General features: G+C 47.5%; 1 protein-coding gene across 9 annotated transcripts, besides 7 other annotated features; it reads right to left on the bottom strand.

Annotated features, from left to right (window-relative positions):
- On the bottom strand, nucleotides 69-24,832 carry DDB2 (damage specific DNA binding protein 2). 9 transcript variants are annotated; one of them, NR_174611.1, is made up of 11 exons: nucleotides 24,612-24,832; nucleotides 24,023-24,215; nucleotides 22,814-22,950; nucleotides 22,237-22,428; nucleotides 6,327-6,472; nucleotides 4,614-4,713; nucleotides 4,410-4,529; nucleotides 3,874-4,016; nucleotides 1,285-1,449; nucleotides 1,103-1,148; nucleotides 69-486 (listed from the first exon to the last, which is right to left on the bottom strand). NR_174611.1 is itself a non-coding variant. In NM_001399874.1 (11 exons), exons 2-11 carry the CDS (start codon nucleotides 24,147-24,149, stop codon nucleotides 437-439), a joined length of 1,284 nt encoding a protein of 427 aa, NP_001386803.1. In that variant the 5' UTR covers nucleotides 24,150-24,215; nucleotides 24,612-24,832; the 3' UTR covers nucleotides 69-436. The 9 variants fall into 9 exon arrangements, 7 of the variants coding, with proteins under 7 accessions (NP_001386803.1, NP_001386804.1, NP_000098.1 ...); NM_001399874.1 differs by having other exon boundaries at nucleotides 4,352-4,529; NM_001399875.1 differs by having other exon boundaries at nucleotides 4,352-4,529; nucleotides 24,023-24,213.
- Nucleotides 23,549-24,748: an enhancer, noted in NCBI's record as "MED14-independent group 3 enhancer chr11:47236089-47237288 (GRCh37/hg19 assembly coordinates)". NCBI's record gives its function as "activates an origin of replication core promoter dependent on BRD2, BRD4, P300/CBP and CDK7 cofactors, and independent of MED14, by STARR-seq in HCT116 cells {active_cell/tissue: HCT116}" and the evidence as "EXISTENCE:reporter gene assay evidence [ECO:0000049][PMID:35650434]".
- Nucleotides 23,549-24,871: a biological region, named in NCBI's record as "MED14-independent group 3 enhancer GRCh37_chr11:47236089-47237288".
- Nucleotides 23,980-24,259: an enhancer, noted in NCBI's record as "active region_4692". NCBI's record gives its function as "activates an Ori minimal core promoter by ATAC-STARR-seq in GM12878 lymphoblastoid cells {active_cell/tissue: GM12878}" and the evidence as "EXISTENCE:reporter gene assay evidence [ECO:0000049][PMID:35858748]".
- Nucleotides 24,036-24,871: an enhancer, noted in NCBI's record as "NANOG-H3K27ac-H3K4me1 hESC enhancer chr11:47235966-47236801 (GRCh37/hg19 assembly coordinates)". NCBI's record gives its function as "activates a minimal SCP1, AML or CMV promoter by ChIP-STARR-seq in naive H9 embryonic stem cells {active_cell/tissue: H9 hESC(naive)}" and the evidence as "EXISTENCE:reporter gene assay evidence [ECO:0000049][PMID:30033119]".
- Nucleotides 24,310-24,519: a silencer, noted in NCBI's record as "silent region_3324". NCBI's record gives its function as "represses an Ori minimal core promoter by ATAC-STARR-seq in GM12878 lymphoblastoid cells {active_cell/tissue: GM12878}" and the evidence as "EXISTENCE:reporter gene assay evidence [ECO:0000049][PMID:35858748]".
- Nucleotides 24,590-24,829: an enhancer, noted in NCBI's record as "active region_4691". NCBI's record gives its function as "activates an Ori minimal core promoter by ATAC-STARR-seq in GM12878 lymphoblastoid cells {active_cell/tissue: GM12878}" and the evidence as "EXISTENCE:reporter gene assay evidence [ECO:0000049][PMID:35858748]".
- Nucleotides 24,872-25,708: an enhancer, noted in NCBI's record as "H3K27ac-H3K4me1 hESC enhancer chr11:47235129-47235965 (GRCh37/hg19 assembly coordinates)". NCBI's record gives its function as "activates a minimal SCP1, AML or CMV promoter by ChIP-STARR-seq in naive H9 embryonic stem cells {active_cell/tissue: H9 hESC(naive)}" and the evidence as "EXISTENCE:reporter gene assay evidence [ECO:0000049][PMID:30033119]".

Genomic DNA, 26,345 nt, shown 5'->3' with positions numbered 1-26,345 from the left:
TTTTTCTTCATTTCTGAGACGCAAGAAGCTCTCTGACCAGGTCACTTCTGGAAGATCCACGCAGAAGCTCAGTCGGTATGGTTTTATTGGCCATATCAAAAGTGAGCACAAATCAAATAACTGCTTGATCCCTCTGCTACCACCCACTGAGAGGAGAAAAGTCATTTAGTTCCAAGATAACCTTGGTTCCAGGCTAGATACAGAGGGGCCCTTGGGACAGCTGTGTCACCAACTCTGGAGCAGTCTCTGGAGGCAAGTCCAGAGCATTAACATAAAAGTGTCCCAGTCCCACAGTGCCCCAGGTCCCAGCACCCCTGCTCCAACCCTAACCTTGGATACTTTTGGCCCTTTAACAAATCGCCACCTCTGCTTGCAGGACTTGATCCCATGTGTGGGCTCCAAGGCCTTGTCTGGCCCACACCTTCTTTAGTGTCTCTCACTTCCGTGTCCTGGCTTCCTCCTGGCTCCAGATGAGAATGTGGTAACCTAGGAAGAGTGAGACCAGTCTGACTTACACTTTCTGTTACCAATCTCTCAGAGCCTGGGGCTGGCCCGCAAACCTACAATTTGGTAAAGAAATACTAGGAAGGCCGGGCGCGGTGGCTCAAGTCTGTAATCCCAGCACTTTGGGAGGCTGAGGTGGGCGGATCACGAGGTCAGGAGACCGAGACCATCCTGGCTAACACGGTGAAACCCTGTCTCTACTAAAAATACAAAAAATTAGCTGGGCGTGGTAGCGGGCACCTGTAGTCCTAGCTACTCGAGAGGTTGAGGCAGGAGAATGGCGTGAACCCAGGAGGCGGAGCTTGCATTGAGCCAAGATCACGCCACTGCACTCCAGCCCGGGGGGACAGAGCGAGACTCCGTCTCAAAAAAAAAAAAGAAATACTAGGAAACTGGACAGTAGCCAGGCATTGCATGACCAAGACAAAGCCAGAGGAATGGAGGGCCTTGGCTATAGAGACCACTGTCTCCCAGCCATCTTCTTCGTGGGCCACTGCCCTGGGGTGAATGTGGCAGGGCGGGGCTGAGGCTGGCCCGCACTGAACCTTGGGAAGTAGGATCGGACTTGGCAAGTCAGAGACATTCTCCTCCTACTCACCCATTGCAGAGGCCAGCGTGTCCCCCATGGGATTGAATTCATTAAGCTGCAGAGACAAGAGTGTCAACATGAGGAGAGGGTGAAGGTATTAGCAGAGACACCTGATTTCTGGTCACTTTTGGTCAATAAGGTAGGTTGAATCCCTGCTTCCTCCCATCATTATTTGAGGACCCAAGCCTCACCGAACTGATGCCAGAAGATTCTGGGTCATAGAGCTGACACATCATCTTCCCTGAGTTTCCATCGAACACGTCGATCGTCCTCAATTCATAAGGGGTACAACTTTTGAAATTAGGATCTGGGTATCGGCCCACAACAATGAGGTTGTAGCGAGGATGCCAGGCTGCCTAGGAGATGGAGAGGCCGGCCATGAGGGTAAACACAGAACATGATCAAGGGGGACATCAAAAACAAATATGAACAAAGAGGAACATCAAAAGTATTCTTTGGGCTGAGTGCAGTGGCTCACACCTGTAATCTCAACACTTTGGGAGGCTGAGGCAGGCGGATCACGAGGTCAGGAGATCGAGACCATCCTGGCTAACATGGTGAAACCCCGTCCCTACTAAAAATACCAAAAAAAAAATTAGCTGGGCGTGGTGGTACATGCCTGTAGTCCCAGCTACTTGGGAGGCTGAGGCAGGGGAATCACTTGAACCCGGGAGGCGGAGGTTGCAGTGAGTGAAGATCATGTCACTGCACTCCAGCCTAGGTGACAGAGCAAGACTCTCAAAAAAAAAAAAAAAAAAGTAGTATTTGCCAGTAACAAGCCAACCTAATAATGGAGATAAGTCTTACAGAAAACTACAAGAATGGTTTTAGGTTGTGTGTGCCTCTGCCATTGCACATTTTTAATCCCTAGCTGGCCTCCCTGGCCCTTAGGGCACCTTCAGGCCTTCTCCCTCATTTGCATTTCCTAAGATCATACCAACTGGTAAACGTTTTAACATCAGCCTGACCCAGATACTGACCTAAGAGGCCTACAACAAAGCAGAAAAAGCCTCTGGTGACCAAACCCTAACAGGACTTGAGTTCTGGAGGAGCCCCACTGTCATCCTGTCTCCATCAACACGAATAACTAAGAGCTGAGTGTAAAATTGCTAATGGCTAAAAAAGAGAAGGAAACCCACATTCCCCAGATCACCCCACTAAAAACAAATCTGGCAGTTATTAAAATGGCAGAATTGGATGGGATTTTCCTAAACTTCTCAAGGAAGTTTTGAAGGAAGAAAGACATGGTTAGCAGGAAGGAAGAAATAGTACATGCGAAGGCTTAGAAATAAGTCACAAATCACACACAGGAAGCTGTAATGACTTACGACACCTGGCTAGATACAAACTGGGACATGCAGACAGATGGATTATCGGGAACACTGATGGATTAACAGGAACACCAACTGGGGAAGGATTCTTGACATTATTTATTAAGAGCTTGGATGTGATTGAGGTACGTGGGGGCCACTCAATATTCAATCATCATTTATTGAATACTTACCAGTACTTACCAGGTGCTGGGCATGGGGCCAAGTGCTTTAAGTATACTGACTCATCTTCACAACAACCCTATCAGTTAGAGACTAGTATTCCCTTTTTGCAGATGAGGAAACAGATCCAAAATATAAGTAATTTGCCCAAGGATTCTAACCCGGGGGGTCTGGCTGCTGGAAACTGGCGCTCCCCACCACTATTCTGAACTGACCAGAGAAGTATAGGCATAAAACCTGAAGATCTGAAGAGGATCTGTAGTTTTGGAAAAGAATGCAGAACTAGCAGAGCTCAGTCTGCATGGGGGCTTAGGCAAAAAGGCATCAAAGGACTTGAAAGCTATTAGTGTTGGGGACTAATGATAGAGAAGCTATTAACAAGAGCCTGAGAAAAGGTGGGAAAATAAAAGACTTATTTTTATTATTAGAAGCACTGAAACCTGCAAGACAAACTAAGAAGGCAAAGTTGCCAGGCGCAGTGGCTCATGCCTGTAATCCTAGCACTTTGGGAGGCCAAGGTTGGGGGATGGCTTCAACCTAGGAGTTCAAGACCAGCTTGGGCAACATGGCAAAACCCCATCTCTATAAAAAATAAAAAAATTAGCTGGGTATGGTGGCGCATACCTGTAGTCCAATCTACTTCCGAGGCTAAGGCGGAAGGATTGCTTGAACCCAGGAGGTTGAGGCTGCAGTGAGCTATGTTTGTGCCACTGCACTCCAGCCTGGGTGACAGAGCAAGACCGTTTCAAGAAAAAAAAAAAAAAAAAAAAAAAGGATCAGCCTGGGTAACACAAGAATACCCTGTCTCTACAAAAAAAAAAAAAGTGAGGCAGGAGGATCGCTTGAGCCTGGGAGATCAAGGCTGTAATGAACCATGCTTGCCCCACTGTACTCCCACCTGGGTGACAGAGCGAGACCCTGCCTTAAAAAAAATAATAAAAAAATAAAAAATGAAGGTTTGTGGGTCAACTGTACACAGGTAACTGAAGCTGAGAAGACAGAACAGAGGGTCAGGATCTTAGAAAATTCTCACAGTGAGATCAGAGCTGGGCTGAAAAAACTCAGAAAAATATCTTATCAGCGAGACAGAAAACTCAACCATATGGGATGGCAGAAGTGGGATAAAAGGAAGAGAGAGAGCCAATGGGTAAGAGATGCTCTGTGCTCGGGCCAGGAGCGATCTGGGGTGGCAGGCTTACCACATCAGCCCTTCCCCACTGTGGGCAGACCTGCTCCGGCCTCATGATCACAGCCTCCTTCTGCGAGCTCCTTCCCACCGCCACTCACCTTGATGGGTGTGAGGTGCTGGAAGTGACGGTGAGGGTGCGGGATCAGGCCCAGGGGGCAGTCCCACTGGGAAGCAGAGTAAACTCGGATCTCGCTCTTCTGGTCCGTGGTCAGGAGCCGGGCTCCATCGGGACTGAAACAAGCTGGCAAAGTGAAAAGCCCCTGAGCTGAAGGAACCACAAGCCCTCTGTGGTCCTGGCCTTGCAGGCCTTCTCCTGCAGGGGTACTCTCCCTCCCACTCCTCTCTAGACAGGAGCGGAAAGGAAGAGGTGAATCTGGGCTGTGAACAACAACAAAAAAATTCTGGAAACTCAGCAGCTGATGGGGACAGCCACAGCCACAAAGGTTCCCAGACATCAGCTTGGCAGACGCTATCAGGGGTAAAGGTTTGACGTAGTGGCTTCCACACTGAGGGAAAACCCCAGCAGTGGTCAGACAGGCAGGGTCTGCAGGAGAGATGAGGTCTGGGATATCACACCTGCGTTGACAGGATGCCTGTGCGGCAGCGAGTAGAGGAAGCTGGCTTTCCCTCTAACCTGGCGCAGGTCCCAAATTTTCACTGTTTGATCTACGGAGGCTGTGGCCAGGAACCAATCACAGCATGGGTTCAGGGCCACATGCGTCACTTTCTTTTTGTGCATTCTGAGATTCCAAAGCTGCAGAGAAGAGCTCGGTTCAGGTGGGGACACAGAACCGAGGTGGGGGTGAGGGAGGGAAAGGCAGGACCTCGGAGAACGCACCTCTTTGCCGTCCATGTTCAGCAGGATCACGTTCCCCACGTTGTCTCCTGTGACCACCATTCGGCTACTAGCAGACACATCCAGGCTACAAAACCAGATGCTGGAGGGAGAGACTGTGTTGTAAGATTCTTGGGGACAGAGATAGTCCTATTTACTCACTGTTGCCGCTCCGGTGACTAACCCACAGCGGGCATTCAATAAATATTTGTTGAATGAATGAATAACTGTCTTGCCGTGGATTCCTAGTGAGGAACATTCAGACTGCTCTACCGTCCAGACAGAGGGGATGGGATAATGGGGCTCAGAAATCTGTCTGGTTATGGCTGGGCCCAGGATCCCCAGCTCCTAAAAGTCCCTGAAGCAGACAAAGCTTATACCATAAAGCAAGCCCTGAGGCACGCCTGCCCCCCACACCCCGGGTTCTGAGCAAGCCTCCTTTACTGCTCTCTCCTTTCACTCTTCACCCTTTAGGCCAAAGGAGACACAAGCCAAAGAGGGATTGCCTGGCCCTGTTCCTCAGAGCTGGCTAGAAAAGCACTTCTGCCCCCTTCTGAACACTGGGGGAAAAAACACAACCAGGAGCTCTTCTGGTCCCTCAAACCACTGGACTGGGAGGCTGACTAGGAGGGTGCTTCAGGGATCCTGCTATTCAGCCAGAAGAGCTCAGCTCACAGTTTTTCTCTCAAACTCTCAAATCCATGCTACACTGCCTTTTGCCATCCCCTATGAATATCTTCAAGCAGGAAGATTTCTTGCGGAAGAGTAGCCTGGAGCCTTGTCTATCCAATTGCCTGCTGATTTGCGTGCGCATGCACTCCTCATCCCTGCGGGACAGCCCAGGATCCAATCCAATGCTAGTTACACCCCAGCACCCTCACTTAATTCCTCAGGGAGCAGTCAGAGTCACGGCTCTAGCTGGAAATCAAAGTGACGAGTATTCTGTAATTTTTTTTTTTTTTTTTTGAGATAGATTTTCGCTCTTGTTGCCCAGGATGGAGTGCAATGGCGCCATCTCGGCTCACTGCAACCTCTGCCTCCTGGGTTCAAGCGATTCTCTTGCTTCAGCCTCCCAAGTAGCTGGGAATTACAGGGGCCTACCACCACGCCCAGCTAATTTTTTGTATTGTTAGTAGAGATGGGGGTTTCACCATGTTGGCCAGGCTGGTCTCGAACTCCTGACCTCAGGTGATCCACCCACCTTGGCCTCCCAAAGTGCTGGGATTTCAAGCATGAGCCACTGCACCCGGCCGCATTCTGTAATTTCTCCAGCCACTTTCTCTTGGGAAGTCCAGAGCACTTTATGGAAAAGATTCCATCCATATAAGCTTCCACCCAGGAACAGGTCAGGTCATTACACCACAGTGAGTGCAGGGCATTCAGTCTCAAGTTCTGAGCTGTTGCTCCATTCTCTAGGTGGCTTTCTGGGTCCACGCCATGCTGGCTTATCTAGTGAGGGTCAAGGTCCAGTCTAATACAGGTATGACTTACAGAAGAGCTGAGGCTCCAGAACACCTTCCCAAAGCAGTAACCCACCTGGACCAAAGTGAGGGCAGCCAAGGAGCAGTTTGAGAAAGAGAAAGAAGGGCGGAAAGTGGCTGACATCTTTCCTTTCTTCCCTGGGCCAGGTTGGGTTAAGGAAATGGGATCTGGATGCTCTTGCCGGAACTACACCTAAGCTTAGAAGCCCTTTCCCCTGCTAGTTAAACTACTCACTTGATGGTGTCTGAGCTGGCAAAAACTCGTAGAATGTTGCCTTTAAAGTCTTGCAGCCTAGTTGTTCCCTCCATTGAGGAGGCGTAAAACTGGTTGGTATTGAGAGGGTTAAACTTCAGCCCAGTGATGCTCCCTCCAGCTCCAATCTAACACGAGGAAGGAAAAAGCCAGTGAGTGATGATGGGCCTGGCCGTGAGGAACCAGGCCTGGGCACACATGCTGCGCCGTCACAGAAGCACCCCTCGAGCAGCGCTTGGGGCCAGGTCAGCTTAGACACTAGGACGCTCTCTACAGGGCCTTCACTTCTTTTTCTTTTCCTTTGAAATAGGGTCTTTCTCTGTCACTTAGGCTGAAGTGCAGTGGCACAAACACGGCTCACTGCAGCCTCAATCTCCTGGGCTCAAGCGATCCTCCCACCTCAGCCTCCCAAGTGCGTGCCACCATGCCCAGCTAATTTTTCTATTTTTTTTTTTTAAGATGGGGTTTTGTCACGTTGCCCAAGCTGGTCTTGAACTCCTAAGCTCAAGCGATCCCCCTGCCACGGCTTCCCAAAGTGCTAAGATTACAGGCATGAGCCGCTTTGTCTGGCCCCTTCATTTCTTTCTTTTTTTTATTTTTATTTTTATTTTTATGTTTTTGAGATGGAGTCCTGCTCTGTCACGACCTCGGCTCACTGCAACCTCTGCCTTCCAGGTTCAAGCGATTCTCCTGCCTCAGCCTCCCAAGCAGCTGGGATTACAGGTGCCCACCACCACGCATGGCTAAATTGTATATTTTTAGTAGAGACAGGGTTTCACCATGTTGGCCAGGCTGGTCTGGAACTCCTGCCCTCAGGTAATCCGCCACCCTTGGCCTCCCAAAGTGCTGGGATTACAGGCGTGAGCCACCGTGCCCCGCCTCCCTTCATTTCTTAAGGCTTTATTTTTACTTTTTTTTTTAATTAACATATAGCAAATTTGGGATATAAAGTTCTCTGAATTTTAACATATGTATAGACTTAAATAACCACCACCCAAATCAGGATGCAGAACATTTGCAACAGCCCAAAAACTCCATCGTGGTATCCCATTGTAATCACACCCTCCCCTCGCCCCCAGCCCCTGGCTGATCTGTTCTCCATCACTATTGTTTTGCCCTCATAGAATGTCCTATAGACCGAGCACAGTAATCCCAACACCTGGGGAGACTGAGGCGGGGGGATTGCTTGAGGCCAGGAGTTCAAGACCAGCCTAAGCAATATAGGGAGACCCCATCTCTACACACACAAAAAAAATTTAGACATGGTGGTAGGTGCATGTGGTTCTAGCTACTCAGAAGGCTGAGGTGGGAAGATGACGGAAGCCTGGAGGTCGAGGCTGCAGTGAGTTGCGATCGAATCACTGCACTCTAGCGTGGGTGACAGAGCAAGACCCTGTCTCTAAAAATAAAATAAAATAAAATTAAAAATAGAATGTCATGTAAATGAATTAGGCAGTATGCAACCTTTTGAGACTGTCTTGTTTCATTTCACTCATCATGCCTCTGAGATTCATCTGAGTTTGCTGTATCAAGAGCTCATCTCATTTTATTGCTGAGGTATTCCATTACATGGATGTGCCCTAATTTGTTATTCCCACAGTGCTCTCTTTAGAAGAGCTTCAGCTCAGAGCAGTGGCTGAGTTAGGAGGGCAGGAGTCAGATCTGTGCCCCTTCCTATTCTTCCAAACATTCATGAAAATGATGATGAAAATAATCATGAGAATATCAATGGCTTAACCTTATTAAGTGCTTACTATGTACTAGGCGCTGGTTTTTTGGGGGGATTTTCTTTGTGTGTTTTTTTTTTTTTTTTTTTTTTTTTGAGATGAAGGCTTGCTCTGTCGCCCAGGCTGAAGTGCGGTGGCACAACCTCAGCTCACTGCAGCCTCCACCTCCTGGATTCCAGTGATCCTCCTGCCTCAGCCTCCTGAGTAGCTGGGATTACATGCCCACACCATCACACCCAGCTAATTTTTGTATTTTTAGTAAAGACAGGTTTCACCATGTTGGTCAGGCTGGTCTCGAACTCCTGACCTCAGGTGATTGGCCTGCCTCGGCTTCCCAAAGTGCTGGGATTACAGGCGTGAGCCACTGCGCCCAGTCAGGCACTGTTTTAAGAACTTTACATCCCCAAGATGTAAAGTTCTCCACTTGTCCGCCTTTCTCCACCTTTTCCACTTCTTCTTTACGCTGCAGCTATCCCAGCCTCACAGACCTGTACAAGTTCTTCTATGCAACAACCACTTAGCTATCACAACATACTAACTGGCACATTCCCTTCCCTCTATAAAACATTCTAACCTCACGGTCATTCTAATGCTCATGGTCTGCCAAATGCTTGCTGGTAGTATGACAATCTTCGGCTCCCTCCAGTTGAGTTCTATGCTTACCAAACCAAGGGTTGGTTGTAGTTGTTCTCAAACCTGTTTATTCCAATTGTATCTTTTATTGCAATTAACACCAAATTTAATTAAGCATGTAAATTGATGAAATACATGCAAAAACAAAGGCCATTATTACTACTATAAAAGCCGTGTTGAAAGCTTTGGAAGAACTTGATAATGAGTTGCAAAAATAATAGCTATTGGCTGGGCACAGTAGCTCACATCTATAATCCCAGTATTTTGAGGGGCTGGGGCAGGAGAATCGCTTAAGGCCAGGAGTTCAAAACCTTGATGCAGTGGTGCAATCCTGGCTCAGCGTAGCCCCAACCTCCTGGGCTCAAGCAATCCTCCCGCCTCAGCCTCCCAAGTAGCTGGTGCTATAGGCTATAGGTGTGTGTCACCAATTTTTTTTTTTTTTTTTTTTTAGAGACAGGGTCTCACTATGTAACTCAGGCCAGTCTCAAATTCCTGGGCTCAAGCAATCCTTCCACCTCAACGTCCCAAAGTGCTGTTACAGGCATGACCCACTGGGTCCAGCCTCTATAAAAAATTATTAAAAATTAGCTGGGAGTGATGGTGCACACCTGTGCTCATAGCTATTCGAGAGGCTGAGGTGGGATGGTGACTTGAGCCCAGGAGTTCAAGGCTGTAGTTAGCTATGATCCTGCCACTGCATTCCAGCCTGGGTGGCAGAGCAAGACCCTGTCTCTATTAGGAAGAAGAAAAAAAAAAAAAAAAAGAAGAGCCATCAAATTAAGCATAGGGTGAGATACTTATAAAAGATTAAGGTAATAAAAATGTAAAAGGAATCTGCAATCAGATTGCTTCACAACTGTCTTACTTTGTATACTGAAAACCTTAAATTTGTATCAATGTCTTCAATTCAAAGTCAACACCACAGAGTTGATTCGAGTTTCTCTCTTTCCATGTTTATAATTCCCTTCTTTGACAGTGAAAAATGTGGTTCCCATTTTACTCAATATACTTACATATTTGATTAATCTCCTTGTATGTAACCAGTCTTCCACTATTGCTGCCACACACTCCCCAAATGCACGTCTTCCTTAGGATGCTTGGACTCTTTTACCCTCCCGAGGGCACAATCACCCTCTTCCCTCTCTCCACTCCCTCAACCATGCAGACACAACTTCCTTGCCCACATCAGGCGCCACGGCCGCCCCTCTCCATGCAAAAGCCCTGCTCACCCCACTTGACTCCGCCACCCCACTCTAGGCCTCCCTGTGGTTCAGCATCCTCAACCCCGCTTCAGACTTCACTATTCCATGCCCGGCCTCCTCTACTCTTCACCCCTGCCTACATGGATGCCCTTCTGATCTTGTTTGGGCCCAGTCTCTATGTACTGAGCTGCCACCTGCCACCTGTAATGACATTCACCTCAGCTTCAGGGGCCCCAGCATCTGGCACTTCCAGCACTGTAGCCTTCCCACTACGTAAACATCTATCTTGCTTGATCCTACCTAATGACTTTTGGTTTGAACTGTTCAGGAAGGGAAAAAGAAGATGAAGAAAGAGGAAGATAGATAGATAGATAGATAGATAGATAGATAGATAGATAGATATTTCTTTTTTTTTTTTTTTTTGAGATGGAGTCTCACTCTGTAGCCCAGGCTGGAGTGCAATGGTGCCATCTCAGGTCACTGCAACCTCCGCCTCCTGGGTTTAAACAATTCTCCAGCCTCAGCTTCCCAAGTACCTGGGATTACAGGCTCACGCCACCACGCTTAGCTAAGTTATGTATTTTTAGGAGAGATGGAGTTTCATCATGTTGGCCAGGCTGGTCTCGAACTCCTGACTTCAAGTGATCCGCCTGCCTCGGCCTCCCAACAGTCATGAGCCACCGGACCTGGCTGAGGAAGAGATATTGATCTTTCCTTCCTTTTTTTTTTTTTTTTTTGAGACAGAGTCCCATGCTGTTGCCCAGGCTGGAGTGCAGTGGCACAATCTTGGCTCACTGCAACCTCTGCCTCCTGGGTTCAAGCAATTCTCCTGCCTCAGCCTCCCGAGTAGCTGGGATTACAGGTACCTGCTACCATGCTTGGCGAATTTTTGTGTATTTTTAGTAGAGACAGGGTTTTGCCATGTTGGCCAGGCTGGTCTTGAACTCCTGACCTCAGGTGATCTGCCCACCTTGGCCACCCAAAGTGCTGAGATTACAGGAGTGAGCCACCGCACCCAGCCAGATATTGATCTTAAACCCTCCGTCTCCACAGACTAGAAAAAGAGGGAATAATTCCCAAGCTAAAGAGGGCAGCATAATTTTTTTTTTTTTTGAGACAGAGTTGTGCTCTGTCGCTCAGGCTGGACTGCAGTGGTGCACTCAGCTTACTACAACCTCTGCCTCCTGGGCTCAAGCAATTCACAGAAATCAGCATAATCTTTTTTTTTTTTTTTTTTTTTTGAGACAGAGCCTCACTCTGTTGCCAGGCTGGAGTGCAGTGGTACGATCTCACCTCACTGCAACCTCCACTTCCCAAGTTCAAACGATTCTCTTGCCTCAACCTCCCGGGTAGCTGGGATGACAGGAGTGCGCCACCACGCCCAGCTAATTTTTGCATATTTAGTAGAGACGGGGTTTCACCATGTTGGCCAGGATGGTCTCCATCTCCTGACCTCATAATCCGACCCCCTCGGCCTCCCAAAGTGCTGGAATTACAGGCGTGATCCACCACGCCTGGCCAGAAATCAGCATAATCTTGATACACAAATGTGACAAGGATTTGGCCAATTTTACACATGAACACAAATGCAAAGATCTTAAAATATTTGCCAGCTCAATCCAGTAATATTTAAAAACGATAAATATGTTATGGCCAGGATGAACTTATTCCAAGAATGCAAAGTTGGTTTAACTATTAAAAATCAATCGGGCCAGCTGGGCGTGGTGGTGGGTGCCAGCTTCTTGGGAGGCTGAGGCAGGAGAATTGCTTGAACCCGGGAGGTGGAGGTTGCAGTGAGCCAAGATTGCGCCATTGCACTCCAGCCTGGGTGACAAGAGTGAAACTCCATCTCAAAATTAAAAAAAAAAAAAAAATTCAGGCATCAAAAGAAACAATCGACAAAGTGAAAAGGCAATCTATGAAGTGGGAGAAGATATTTTCAAATCATAGATCTGATAAGAGGTTAATATCATGGCCGGGCGCAGTGTCTCACACCTATAATCCCAGCACTTTGGGAGGCCGAGGCGGGTAGATCACCTGAGGTCAGGAGTTCAAGACCAGCCTGGCCAACATGGTGAAACCCTGTCTCTACTAAAAGCACAAAAATTAGCCGGGCATGGTGGCGCATGCCTGTAATCCCAGCTACTCAGGAGGCTGAAGCAGGAGAATTGCTTGAACCCGGGAGGTGGAGACTGCAGTGAGCCGAGATTGAGCCATTACACTCCAGCCTGTACAACAGGAGCAAAACTCCATCTCAAAAAAAAAAAAAAAAAAAAAAAAGGTTAATATCCAGAATATATAAAGAACCCCTACAAAACAACAACAAATAACCCAACTAAAAAACAGGCAAACAGGAGTTCAAGACCAGCCTGGGAGACATAGCAAGATCCAATCTCTATAAAAAAAAATTTTTTTTTAACTTAGTAAGTCCTTTCTGTAAGAGACAGCGAAAAAAACAAAACAAAACAAAGTTAGCAAGGTATGATGGTGAGCACCTGCAGTCCCAGTTACTCGGGTGGCTAAGGCAGCAGGATCACTGGAGCCCAGAAGTTCGAGGCTGCAGTGAGCTATGATTGTGCCACTGTACTGCAGCCTGGGTGACCAAGTAAGACCCTGTTTCAAAAAAAAAAAAAAAAAAAAAAAAAGGCAAAGGACTTGAATAGACATTCCTTCAAAGAAAATATACAAATGGCCAAGAAGCACACGTAAAGATGCTCAATATCACTAATCATTAGAGAAATGCAAATGAAACTACACTGCTATCACCTCACATCCCTTAGGATGGCCACTATCAAAAAAACAGAAAAGGCCGAGCATGGTGGCTCACACTTGTAATCCCAGCAATTTGGGAGGCCAAGGCAAATGAATCACCTGAGGTCGGGAGTTCAAGACCAGCCTGGCCAACGTGGCAAAACCCGTCTCTACTGAAAATACAAAAATTAGCCGGGCATGGTGGTGTGCGCCTATAATCTCAGCTACTGGAGGCTGAGCCAGGAGAATCAGTTGAACTCAGGAGGCAGAGGTTGCAGTAAGCTGAGGCTGTGCCACTGCATTCCAGCCTGGGCGACAGAGGGAGACTTCATCTCAAAAAAAAAAAAAAAGAAAATAAATGTTGGTGGGGAAGTAGAGAAGTTGGGACATTTGTACACTGCTGATGGGAACATGAGATGGTATAGCCAGTATGGAAAACAATATAGCGGTTCCTCAAAAAATGAACAACAAAATTACCATTTGATGAAGCAATCGTACTTATTGGCATAAGCCCCAAAGAACTGAAATCGGGGTCTCAAAGGGATATTTGCACATCCACATTCACTGCAGCATTATTCACAATAGCCAAAAGATGAAATCAACCCAAGTGTCTGTCAATTAATAAACAGATAAACAAAAGGTGGTACACGCAAACAATGGAACATTATTCAGCCTTAAAAAAGGAAATTCTGCCACATGCTACAACATGGATGAATCTTAAAACACTGCATTAAGTGAAATAAGCCTGTCACAAAAAGACAAATACTGTATGATTCCACTTAGATGAGATATCTAAAGTAGTCAAACTCACAGAAACAGAAAGTAGTACTGTGGTTGCCAGGGGCTAAGGGGAGGGAGAAGTGGAGGCTTGTTCAGTGGGTATAGAGTTTCAGTTTTACAAGAAAAAAGTTCTAGTGATCTGTTGCACAACAATGTGAATATAGTTAACATTACTAAACTGTACACTTAAAAATAGTAAAGATTGTAAATTGTTTTACGTGTTTTCTACCAGTTTTTTGTTTTTTTTTTTTAAAATAGAGATGGAGTCTCGCTCTGTTGCCCAGGCTGGAGTGCAGTGGCATAATCTCGGGTCACTGCAACTTCTGCCTCCCGGGTTCAAGTGATTCTCCTGCCTCAGCCTCCCCAGTAGCTGGGATTACAGGCGCCCACGACCATGCCCAGCTAATTTTTTGTGTTTTTAGTAGAGACGGGGTTTCACCATGTTGGCCAGGATGGTCTCGATCTCCTGACCTTGTGATCCGTCCACCTCAGCTTCCCAAAGTGCTGGGATTACAGGCGTGAGCCACTGAGCCTGGCCCACAATTTTTTTTAAAAAAAGCAGTATTACTTGTTAGAGTTTTTTTTTTTTTTTTTAAAGACACAGGATCGGGCCAGGAGCAGTGTCTCAAGCCTGTAATCCCAGCACTTTGGGAGGCCAAGGTGGGTGGATAACTTGAGGTTAGGAGTCTGAGACCAGCCTGGCCAATATGGTGAAACTTGGTCTCTACTAAAAATACAAAAATTAGCTGGGCGTGGTGGTGCACACTTGTAATCCCAGCTACTCAGGAGGCTGAGGCAGAAGGGTCGCTTGAACCTGGGAGGTGGAGGTTGCAGTGAGCTGAGATCTCATGCCAGTGCACTCCAGCCTGGAAGAGAGAGTGAGACCTCATCTCAAAAAAGAAAGAAGAGGAAATAATAAATATGAGGAGAGAAATGGAAGACATGAAAAAAAATCCAAATTAAACTTCTAGAGGGGATATACAGTATCTGAAATGAAAAATACGCTGGGCTACTTTGCCTATGGAGCAGCCCTGCTCTGCACAGGCAAGAAAGAGAAGAGAAAAGGAAGAGGAAGAGAAGAGAGAGAAAGGAACGAAGGGAGGGAGGGAGGGAGGGATTGACAGCAGAAGGTTAGATATTACAGAAGTAAAGATCAGTGAACAACTGCACAAAATGAAACAGGGAAAAAGACAAAAATGAACAGTGCATCAACCACCTGCAGGACCATATGTAATCGCAGTCCCAAGAAAAAAAGAACTGTTCTTTTTCTTCATTTTGAACTCTTTGTAAGAAATAATGGGCTGGGCAAGGTGGCTCACGCCTGTAATCCCAGCACTTCAGGAGGCCAAGGTGGGCGGATCACTGGAGGTCAGGAGTTCAAGACCAGCCTGGCCAACATGGTGAAACCCTGTCTCTACTAAAAAAATAAAATAAAAATAAATAAATACAAAAATTAGCCAGGTGAGGTGGTGGGCACCTGTAATCCCAGCTACTCGGGAGGCTGAGGCAGGGAGAATCGCTTGAACCCTGGAGGTGGAGGTTGCAGTGAGCCGAGATTGTGGCACTGCACACCAGCCTGGGCGACAGAGTGAGACTTTGTCTCAAAAGAAAAAAAAAATCCATAAATCAAAGAAGCTTAGTGATCCCCCCACAAGCACATCATAATCATTTTTAAAGCGACCAGAAGAAAAATTACATAGACAGGAACATAAGGATAGTAGCAGACTTCTCATCAGGATGTTTTGTTTTGTTTTGTTTTTAATTGAGACAGGATCTTGCTCTGTCACCCAGGCTTGCCTAGCTCACTGAAGCCTTGTCCCCCTGGGCTTAAGCAATTCTCCCACCTCAGCCTCCTGAACAGCTGGAACTACAAGTTCAAGCCACTAGCTAATTTTTAAGATTTTTTTGTAGAGATGGGGTCTTGCTGTGTTTCCTAGGCTGGTCTTAAAGTCCTGGCCTCAAGAGGTCCCCCAGCCTCAGCCTCTCAAAGTGTTGAGATTACAGGCATGAACCATTGAGCCCAACTAGAAATCATCTTTATTTTTATTCTTTATTTATTTATTTATTTTAGACGGAGTCTTGCTCTGTCACCCAGGCTGGAGTGAAGTGGCCGATCTCGGCTCACTGCCAGCTCTGCCTCCTGGGTTCACACCATTCTCCTGCCTCAGCCTCCCAAGTAGCTGGGACTACAGGCGCCCACCACCACGCCTGGCTAATTTTTTTTGTATTTTTAGAACAGACAGGGTTTCACCGTGTTAGCCAGGGTGGTCTCAATCTCTTGATCTCGTGATCCGCCTGCCTCGGCCTCCCAAAGCGCTGGGATTACAGGTGTCAGCCACCGCGCCCAGCCTTATTTATTTATTTTTGAGACACAGTCTTGCTCTGTCACCCAGAATGGAGTGCAGTGACACCATCTCGGCTCACTGCAACCTCTGCCTCCCAGGTTCAAGATTCTCATGCCTCAGCCTCCCGGGTAGCTGGGATTACTGGTGAGCGCCACCACACCCAGCTAATTTTTGTATTTTTAGTAGAGGCGGGGTTTCACCATGTTAGCCAGGCTGGTCTAAAACTCATGATCGCAAATGATCCACTTGCCTTGGCCCCCCAAAATGCTGGGATTACAGGCGTAAGCCACAGCGCCCAGCCTAGACATCATCTTTAAAGTACTGACAGGAGAAAACTGTGAACAAATATATTGTATGCAATAAAATACAATTTTAATTTACCAATTAAAAAATAAAAGTTAAATAATTTTAAAAACTGTGAACCTAGAATTCTATACTTAGCAAAAACATCCTCCCTCAAAATAAAGGCAAAATACTTTTCTAGATAAACAACAGTGGAAAGTATTTATCACCAATCTGCATTATAAGAAATATGAAAGGAATTTCTTCAGGCAGAAAGAAAATATTACCAAAAGGAAATCTGGATCACATGAAAGAATGAAAGCACTGGAAATGACAATATGTGGGCAAATAGAAAAACCTTTTCTCATTTAAAAAGTATCTTTAAAACATTCCTACTCTATAATCCAGCCATTCCACTGCTAAGTATTTACCCAAGAAAAATGAAAACATATATCCACACAAATACTTGTACGTGAATGTTCACAGTCGCTTTATATGTTGCATTCAAAAACTAGAAAAAAATTCAAATGTCCTTGAACAGGTAAATGAATAAACTGTATCATATCAGTACAATGTGGCTGGGTGCAGGGGCTCACGCCTATAATCCCGGCACTTTGGGAGGCTAAGGCAGGAGGATAGCTTGAGGCCAGGAGTTTGAAACCAGCCTGTGCAACACAGTGAGACCTCTGTCTCTATAACAAAATTTTAAAATTAGCCAGGTATGGTGGCCTGTGCATGTAGTGCCAGCTACTCAGGAGGCTGAGGTGGGAGAATCGCTTGAGCTGAGGAGGTTGAGGCTATGCTGAACCATGATCATCCCTGGGTGACACAGCAAGACCCTGTCTTAAAACAAAAAACAATGAACCATTATTCAGAAAGAAAAAAAAAACTACACATAAAAATGTAGATAAATTTCAAATAATTATACTGAAACAAGCTAGAACAAAAATAAAAGACCATATATTCTATGATTCTATTTATATATAGTTCTAGAAAATGTAAATTAATTTCTAAAAATAAAAAATAGATCAGCAGTTTACAGTGAATAAGATATTGGGTAGAGAGGGGTGGATTACAAAGGGGCATAGATAACTCATCTATCTATCACTCTCCAAATATTCAACAAAGGGTGGGGAAATGGGAGTTATTTTAATTGTGGTGATGGCTTCACAGTTGTACACATATGTCAAAACTCATGGAATTGTACAATTTATTCTTTTTTTCTTACTGCTTCTCTGGAGTAGGACTACCCCATAGGCTGAGAATAGCCAAATTGTACACTTGAAATAGCTGCAGTTTATGTCCACTATACCTCAATAAAGATATAATTTTAAAAACCCAGGCCGGGTGCAGTGGCTCGTGCCTGTAATCCCAGCATTTTGGGAGGCCGAGGCGGGCGGATCACTTGAGGTCAGGAGTTCGAGACCAGCCTGGCCAATATGGTGAAACCCTGTTTCTACCAAAAATATAAAATTCAGGCTGGGCACGGTGGCTCACACCTGTAATGCCAGCACTTTGGGAGGCCAAGGCAGGTGGATCACCTTAGGCCAGGAGTTCAAGACGAGCCTGGCCAACACGGTGAAACCCCGTCTCTACTAAAAATACAAAAATTAGCTGGGCATGGTGGTAGGCTCCTGTAATCCCAGCTACTCAGGAGGCTGAGGCAGGAGAATCATTTCAACTCAGGAGGCAGAGGTTGCAGTGGGCCGAGATCGTGCTACTGCACTCCAGCCTGGGCAATAGAGTGAAACTCTGTCTTAAAAAAACAAAACAAAACAAAAATTAGCTGGTGTGGTGGTGCATGCCTGTAATCCCAGCTACTCGGGAGGCTGAGGAAGGAGAATAGCTTGAACCCAGGAGGCGGAGGTTGCAGTGAGGTGAGATCGCACCACTGCACTCCAGCCTGAGCGACAGAGCAAGACTCAGACTTGGAAAAAAAAAAAAATAGTGTACACATGCACAGAGGGATGCTGAAAATGGGGATTTTGGATCATATTTAATTTATTTTTTACACTTTTCTCTGTATTTTATGATAAGAATACACTGTTTTGTTTTTTGAGAGATGGAGTCTCACTGTGTCGCCCAGGCTGGAGTGCAGTGGCACCATCTCAGCTCACTGCAACCTCCACCTCCCAGGTTCAAGTGATTCTCCTGCCTCAGATTCCTGAGTAGCTGGAACTACAGACGTGCACCACTACTCCCGGCTAATTTTTGTATTTTTAGTAGAGACAGGGTTTCACTATGTGTTGGTCAGGCTGGTCTCGGAACTCCTGACCTCAGGTGATCCACCCGCCTCGGCCTCCCAAAGTGCTGGGATTACAGGCGTGGGCCACTGCGCCTGGCCCCATACATTGTTTTTATAATAGGAATAAAATTAAGCTATCTTCATTGTGAAACTGTAATACATGTTCCCTTGCCAAGGGCCTGAAGAATGTAAAGGTCACAGCCAAGGTCAGATGACTAAAGAAGTGACAAAATGAGGCACTGTTGCTCCTCCAGTAACTGGTCTCAAATCAGCATTCTGCTGTCAGCATCTGGGAGTAAAACCAGACAGGTCTCTTCCAGACTGCCATACCCTTCCTCTGCTCCAACCTAGCTCCCTGCAAATGCAAGCCACAAAATTCAATGCCTAGACCAATCTTCATTACAGTGTAAAGAAAGTTTACACTGTAAAGAAGGTTACACGCATGTCATAAGGTGATGCAACAAAGAAAAAAAGCAATCTCAGTCTGGCACAAGTTCAAAGCACTTGTCATTATCCTGTTAGTCAGGAAGCTCTTCCCCTAGAATACCCTACACTGCTTCTTCCCATCTCCAGGCATAAGCTAAATTCCTCTATTCCCATGTCCTAGACTCCTGGAGAAAACAAGAAAACAAATTTCTTCCTGTCTGAGCTCTGGGTTCTGACTTCAACTTCAAGCTGCCTTATTAGCGGTCACCTGCCTCTTTAGCTGGGCAGGAAACCTACCCCACTCTGTCCGCGGCACTCCTCTGACTGCCTTTCTGGGGGCTTCTGGCACTTGTTCCTTGAACACCCATCTCACACTTTGAATTCCAGTCTCCCACACCTGTCTAACCTGGCCTTTTCTGGTGGTCTGCTCTCCAAATCCCTCCACTTAAGAGACCTCCTGCTGGCTGGGTGCAGTGGCTCACGCCTGTAATCCCAGCACTTTGGGAGGTCGAGGCGGGCGGATCACGAGGTCAGGAGATCGAGACCATCATGGCTAACACGGTGAAACCCCATCTCCACTAAAAAATATAAAAAAAGTAGCCGGGTGTGGTGGCGGGCACCAGTAGTCCCAGCTACTTCGGAGGCTGAGGCAGGAGAATCGCGTGAACCTGGGAGGCGGAGCTTGCAGTGAGCCGAGATTGCGCCACTGCACTCCAGCCTGGGCGGCGGAGTGAGACTCCATCTCAAAAAAATAAACAAATAAATAAATAAAGAGACCTCCTCCTGGGTTCCCCCTCATGTCTACCTTTAAACCAGAGCTAGAAAAATAGTGGACTGAAGCAGAATTCGGCTGAGACGTGTGTTTAGTTTCATTCAGTGCCAATATTAAGACGTTCTAGAGGCCCAGCACAGTGGCTCAGCCCTGTAATCCCGAGCAATTTGGGAAGACAAGACAGAAGGATTGCTTGAGGCCAGTAGTTTGAGACCAGCCTGGGCAATATAGAGAGACCACATCTCTAAAAATTAGCCAGGCATGGTGGTGCGTACCTGTAGTCCCTGATACATGGGAGGCTGAAGCCGGAGGATTCCTTGAGTCAGGAAGGTGGAGGCTGCAGTGAGCTATGGTTGTGTCACTGCACTCCAGCCTGGGTGACAGAATGAGACTCAAAAAATAAAAATAAAAAAAAATAATGAAGTTCTGGAGACTGCTTACACAATTTACCCAACGCCATTGAACTGTGCACTTTAAAATGGTTACGAAAGTAAATTTCATGTTATATGTATTTTATCATTATTTTTTAAAAAGTTGGCTGGGGGCGGTGGCTCACGCCTGTAATCCCAGCACTTTGGGAGGCCGAGGCAGGCAGATCACAAGGTCAGGAGATAGAGACCATCGTGGCTAACACGGTGAAACCCCATCTCTACTAAAAATACAAAAATTAGCCAGGCGTGGCAGCATGCACCTGCAGTCCCAGCTGCTGGGGAGGCTGAGGCAGGAGAATGGCATGAATCCGGGAGGCGGAGCTTGCAGTGAGCCAAGATTGCGCCACTGCACTCCAGCCTGGGTGACAGAGCGAGAGTCCGCCTCAAAAAAAAAACACTTTTAAATGGTTAAGGTGATACATTTTATGTTACGTGTATTTTACAATTTTTTTTAAAACTCAAGATATATGACATTTAAAAAATGAGGATTTGTGTCTTTGTTTGAGAAAAATCACATCTGATATCAAAAGACCTACATTTTTGCACAACAGTCATCTCTAGTTTACCCCTGACCCTACCACCATACATTCTTTTTTTTTTTTTTTCCACTCTGGCTTCTGGAGCCCTATAAGTTTGTGACTCCTGCTCTAAACCCAGTGTCACTTTTCACAGCACAGCCCTCCAATGTCAGCCACCAGCTGGGCTGGCTAAAGGTCCTAGAGGGGACGACACACTCACCCCTCAGCAATGGATGATAAACTCTAGCACAACAAAGACCATTCCCAAGAACTCTGTGCCAAACCTCACCCAGTCACACTATGTCTTTCCTTCTTTTCTCTCCATTTATCTAATACTGCTCCTCCTCGCTCATCCATGGAGTCTTCTTTATTGACTCCAATTCACAAGGGGTTCTTCCTTCTTTCACATTCTGTAGCACTTGGCATCTGTATTGTTAATTACCTCGTATGTATACATCCCATCTGCTCAATTACACTTCAAGCCCCTCACTCATTCAACAAATATAAAGCAGCTACTCTAGGCCAAACTTTGTTCCAGGCACTGGGAATAGGATGGTGAACCAGAAAGGAAAGGTCCCTGCCATCAGTGGGCAAACATACAAATAAGCATCAGATCTCAGACACCCATCAACACTTGGGGGAAACATGAAGCAGGGTAATGATACAGGGAATGACGGTGGAGGAGTGGGATCTACGTTATGAGTAAGGACAACCAGCGAAAGCCTCTTTGAAGAGGTAGAATCAGCAAAGACCTGCAGAGAAGACGCCAGCCATGAGAAGACCATGGGGGAAAAGCACTCCAGTCAAAGGGAACAGCAATTACAGAGACCCGGTTTCAGGAATAGAAACAGCTGGTGTGGCTACAGCATAGAAGTGAGAAAAGACAATGGCGTAAGATGAGGTCAATGTGGTAAGAAGGGGCTTCAATTCTTTTTTTTTGAGATGGAGTCTCGCTCTGTTGCCCAGGCTGGAGTGCAGTGGCGTGATTTCGGCTCACTGCAACCTTCGCCTCCCGGGTTCAAGCGATTCTCCTGCCTCAGTGTCCCAAGTAGCTGGGACTACAGGCGCACACCACCACATCCAGCTAATTTTTTGTATCTTTAGTAGAGACGGGGTTTCACCATGTTGGCCAGGATGGTCTCCATCTCTTGACCTCGTGGTCAGCCCACCTTGGCCTCCCAAAGTGCTAGGATTACAGGCCTGAGCCACTGCGCCCAGCCCAGAAGGGGCTTCAATTCTATGGGTGATCAATAGTCTATATCTTCTAGTATTTTAAGGACAGGCATTAGAAAAATATATATCATCATCATTTACGTATTTGAAAATGCCCACAGTTAATTTTGATCCCAGTCCTCTTCCTGATGATTACTGGATGACATCAATATTCCTTTCATGCCTTCAACAAACACTCCTTATTTTTATTTTCTTTTATTATTATTATTATTATTATTTTGAGATGGAGTTTCACTCTTGTTGCCCAGGCTGGAGTGTAATGGTGCAATCTTGGCTCACTGCAACCTCTGCCTCCCGGGTTCAAGCAATTCTCCTGCCTCAGCCTCCTGAGTAGCTGGGATTATAGGCGCCTGCCACCACACCCAGCTAATTTTTGTATTTTTAGTAGAGACGGGGTTTCACCATGTTGGCCAGGCTGGTCTCAAACTCCATACCTCAGGTGATCCACCCACCTTGGCCTCCCAAAGTGCTGGGATTACAGGTGCGAACCACTGCACCCAGCCAACAAACACTTCTTTAGCACGACCTGGCATGGGGAACTGCTCACCCCTTTGATGAAGGTGGGTTTGTCCTTGATGCCAAAATTCCAGAGCATGATATCTCCCCCTTTGGAACCCACAGCCACGGTGCTGGGGTGAGTTGGGTGCCACGCCAAGGATGTAGCCCTCCTGTCAAAGGGGGCAGCCTTTTGTAATATCCGGTAAGAATCCAGAGTGTGCAAAAAGGACTGCTGGAGCCCCTGCCACAGAGAGAAATGAATTAGGTTGAATTAAAACCCAAGTTCTGGGTAAACTGCCAATCTCTGCCTCCTTCATGGATGAGCCCTAGATCCAAGTCCTCCCACCAAAGGAAAGCTAACTGCCTGCCCTGTGCATGAAAATATTTGCAATGTACACGAACGAATAATCTTGGAAAGCAAAAGGGGCAGAGTGCATTCCAGCTGGGACCTTTACAACATAAGACATTTTTTACCTGGCTGAGTGCCCAGTAGGCCAGTCACCACAGTCTGGGTGATCGGACCACTCTGACAAGCTGGTGAACCAAGCCATCATCTAATTTGGGAGCATGCAATAGTAAAAATGCACGTGTAAACCCTTGAGGACTTGAGGCAAAAAATGCCTTACCTGCTGGACAGATGGCCAGGAAGCTCTGCCCAGCTTATGCTGGTGGAGGGTCCTGACGATGCTGCGGCATGGTGGCAGGATCTGTGGGCCAGCCAGCCCCACCCAGAGGCAGTCTGAGTCACATCTTCTGCTAGGACCTGCCAAGCAGAACAGACATATTTTCCTCTCCAATCTCACGAAAGGTTTTTCTGCTGAATTCCCCGAAAGGAAGCCTTGTTTCATTCGGCACGGTTAATCTCTGTCTCATCACCTCCTGCGGCCTTTCCATGTCTGTGTGGTCTCAACGAGCACCAGAAATAAAAAAATGAGTGAGGATTTGGCCCCTTCCCCAAAACACTCCCACAAACAGTAAGTCTGAAGTGAAAGTAAATACAGTCGTGCAGGGTTCCTGAGACCCCAGCCAAAGAAACACACAAGGATAAAGTACAATGCAGAACTCTTCCCAGTTTGGGCTGCAAAACTCGAGATGGGACTGGGTCACAATTTTATAAATCACATATAATGCACAATAAAAAGATTTTAGGGCAGCATGGCAGAAGTCACCGTTTAGGAAAAGAAGGAATAGGAAGGCCTGGAAATGCTCTTAACTAGGTTACTTCTGGGGAGGTAAGTGAAATTAGAATAGCAATAAAGCAACAACTCCTGATCACCAAACTGTATTTGAGGACCCAATCACTATAGGTCCGACGTCTTGACAACCAATTCTTTCTTCTCATGGACAAAAACCACTTGATTAACAAGCCCCAGCTCGTTTTTGAGTGTCTCGAAACTCCTTATAGCCCCAGGTTCAAGCCCCAGTAAACCTCAGAGAATGAGCTTTCTAAGGAGGAAGGAATTGGGGGCTCTCACAACTGACCACCGAGGACGTGCAGCTAACAAGCGTGACTATGAAATCCAGCACACACAGCGCCAGGAAAGGTAGGATTCTCTGAAGCCGTCCTAACTGTGCAAGAACCCTGATACGAACAAGGAATCTGACAAGTCCGTGTGTCTGTTGTTACGGAGCTCATCTGCTTCCTGTTACCTAGCGGGAGAGGTGTTGAAACCTAAACACTCTGGTGTCAAAGGACCTGCAGGTAGAATGCACAGCCGGAGGCACCCGTGACCTGCGCGGGCCTCGGGAGCCTCGGAGCACCCATCCCCCGCTGCAGCCTCCTGCGCGAGCACCCTAAAAGGCGGAAATATTCAAGCAGCAGGCACAGGCAGTACCGGAGCCCTTCGCACAGAGCTTCTTGGCCTCGGGCTCCAGCTCCAGGGGACTCCTGCTCCTCTTGTTCCTGGGGCGTAATACAATCTCGGAGGTCTTCTGGGTTTCTGGGCGTTTCTTGGGAGCCATCGCGTCCTCCGTGTGAAGGGGTACTGTGCTCTATGCGAAGATCATGGAGGGAGGATTGAGAGGCCTCTGGGGAGAAACAAGGCGGGGACTACAAAACTGCGGGGCCACAGGTAGCCGAGCTAAGCCAACTTCCCGCCAAACATGCCCAGGGCTTGTTCAAACCAGCTTGGAGCTCCGGCCCCACCCGTCTCGGAGACCCCGCCCCTTCCTGGAAGGCGGGGGCGCGGGGAGGGGGTGGTGCCAAGGGGCGGTGCCAGCGCTCCCGGGAGGGGCGGGAACTGCGCCAGGGCCAGTGCCAGCCCGGGTCAGCTGACCTCCCTGGAGCAAAGATGGTCCCCGGCTTTATGGATTTTTTTTTTTTTTTTAGCAACAGGGTCTGGCTCTGTCGCTCACTCTGGAGGGCAGTGGGGCGATCATAGCTCAGTGCAGCCTCCACCTCCTGGGCTCAAGCGATCCTCCCACCTCAGCCTCCTAAGTAGATGGGACTACAAGCGTACGCCACCACGCCCGGCTAATTTCTCTCTCTCTCTCTCTTTTTTTCTTTTTCTGGAGAGACGGGGTCTCGCTTTGTTGTCCGGGCCGGTCTTTAACTCCTGGGCTTAAGCGATCATCCAGCCTTGACTTCCTGACACGAACCCTCCTCAAACGCGGCGCTGCCAGGCCTCTGCGGGTCCGGGGAGGAGGCCCGGTGCCAGCCAAGGCTCTGTCTCCCGCCTTGCAATTGGTGATGACGCCCGCTCGGGCTTTGGGATTGGCTGGTCCCTACAGGGTGTAGTTGGGGAGTGGCGGCTTTGTAGAGAGCTAGTGCCTTTCCTAAGTTAGAAGCTGGGCTCTACCAGCGGTCAGCTTTGCAGTCGGATTCCAGAAACTACAGTCCCATCGAATCCAAGCTGCTTCTCTGTGAAGGGAGAATGATTGGAACTCCTTGCCTTTTTTTTTTTTTTTTTTTTTTTTTCCTAGAGGCAGTGTCTCTCTTCCGTTACCCAGGCTGGAGTGCAGTGATGTAATCACAGCTCACTGCAGCCTTGACCTCAAGTTTCACTGATCCTCCCACCTCAGCCTCCCAAGTAGGCTTGCAGACCTGTATCCCCAAGCCTAATTTTTTTATTTTTATTTTTGTAGAGACAAGGTCTTGCTATGTTTCCCACGTTGGTCTGGACCTCCTGGGCTCAAGTGATCCTCCTGCCTCTGCCTCCCAAAGTGCTGGGATTACAGGCATGAGCCACCGTGTCTGGTTCTCACTGCTCTTTTATTTGTTTGGTCGTTGGCTGTTTTTATTTTTTCTTTCTTTCTTTCTCTCTTTCTTTTTTTTTTTTTTTTTTTTGAGACAGGGCCTCTCTCTGTCACCCAGGCTGGAGTGCAGTGGCAGGATGTGGGCTCAATGCAGGCTGGACTTCCTGGACATCGATCCTCCCACCTCAGCCTCCCGAGTAGCTGGGACTACAGGTGCGCGCCGCAACACTCAGCTAATTTTTGCATTTTTTGTAGAGACAGAGTCTCCCTAAGTTGCCTAGGCTGGTCTAGAACTCCTGGCATCCATCCACCTCGGTCTGCCAAAGTGCTGAGATTACAGGTGTGAGCCACTGTGCCCAGCCTCCTCACTGCTTTTTTTTTTTTTTTTTTTTTGAGACGGAGTCTCACTCTGTTGCCCAGGCCGGAGTGCAGTGGCACAATCTCGGCTCACTGCAATCTCCGCCTCCCGGGTTCAAGCGATTCCCCTGCCTCAGTCTCCGGAGCAGCTGGGACTAGAGGCACACACCACCACGCCTGACTAATTTTTTGTATTTTAGTAGAGACAGGGTTTCACCATGTTGGCCAGGATGGTCTCGATCTTCTGACCTTGTGATCTGCCTGCCTCGGCCTCCCAAAATGCTGGGATTATAGGCGTGAGCCACCATGCCCAGCCTCTTGGCCTCTCACTGCTTTTAACTAAGACTTGCCTAACCTGTTGGGTGTCCACCTAGGAGCAGCCTGGGACGTGATGGGCCAGAGGGCGTGCAGCCAGCGGTACTTAGAACTCCTACGCCCTCGCTTCAGCCAAAGTCCAAGTCTTGAAGGTTCACAGGTGAGGCCGCGCTGTCCTGCCTAGCCTGAGAAGAGACAGTTTGGATGCACCCTAGTTTCTGCGAAGAGGCAGGCAGGAGTTGGGCTTACTCAGGCATTGCTGGGCCTTTCCTCCACCCACTAAGCCCCGTG

This window comes from Homo sapiens, chromosome 11, assembly GCF_000001405.40.
Source record: "Homo sapiens chromosome 11, GRCh38.p14 Primary Assembly".
Lineage (NCBI taxonomy): Eukaryota > Metazoa > Chordata > Mammalia > Primates > Hominidae > Homo > Homo sapiens.
This window is presented reverse-complemented; position numbering and strand designations above follow the sequence as displayed.

Coding starts and splice junctions, on each gene's coding strand:
- DDB2 (NM_001399874.1), bottom strand. CDS start 24,149: ATGGCTCCCAAGAAACGCCCAGAAACCCAGAAGACCTCCGAGATTGTA. Junction 1,450..3,873: donor AGCACCTCACACCCATCAAG/GTGAGTGGCGGT, acceptor TCCATCTCCTAG/GCAGCCTGGCATCCTCGCTA. Junction 487..1,102: donor CACGCTGGCCTCTGCAATGG/GTGAGTAGGAGG, acceptor CACTCTTCCTAG/GTTACCACATTCTCATCTGG.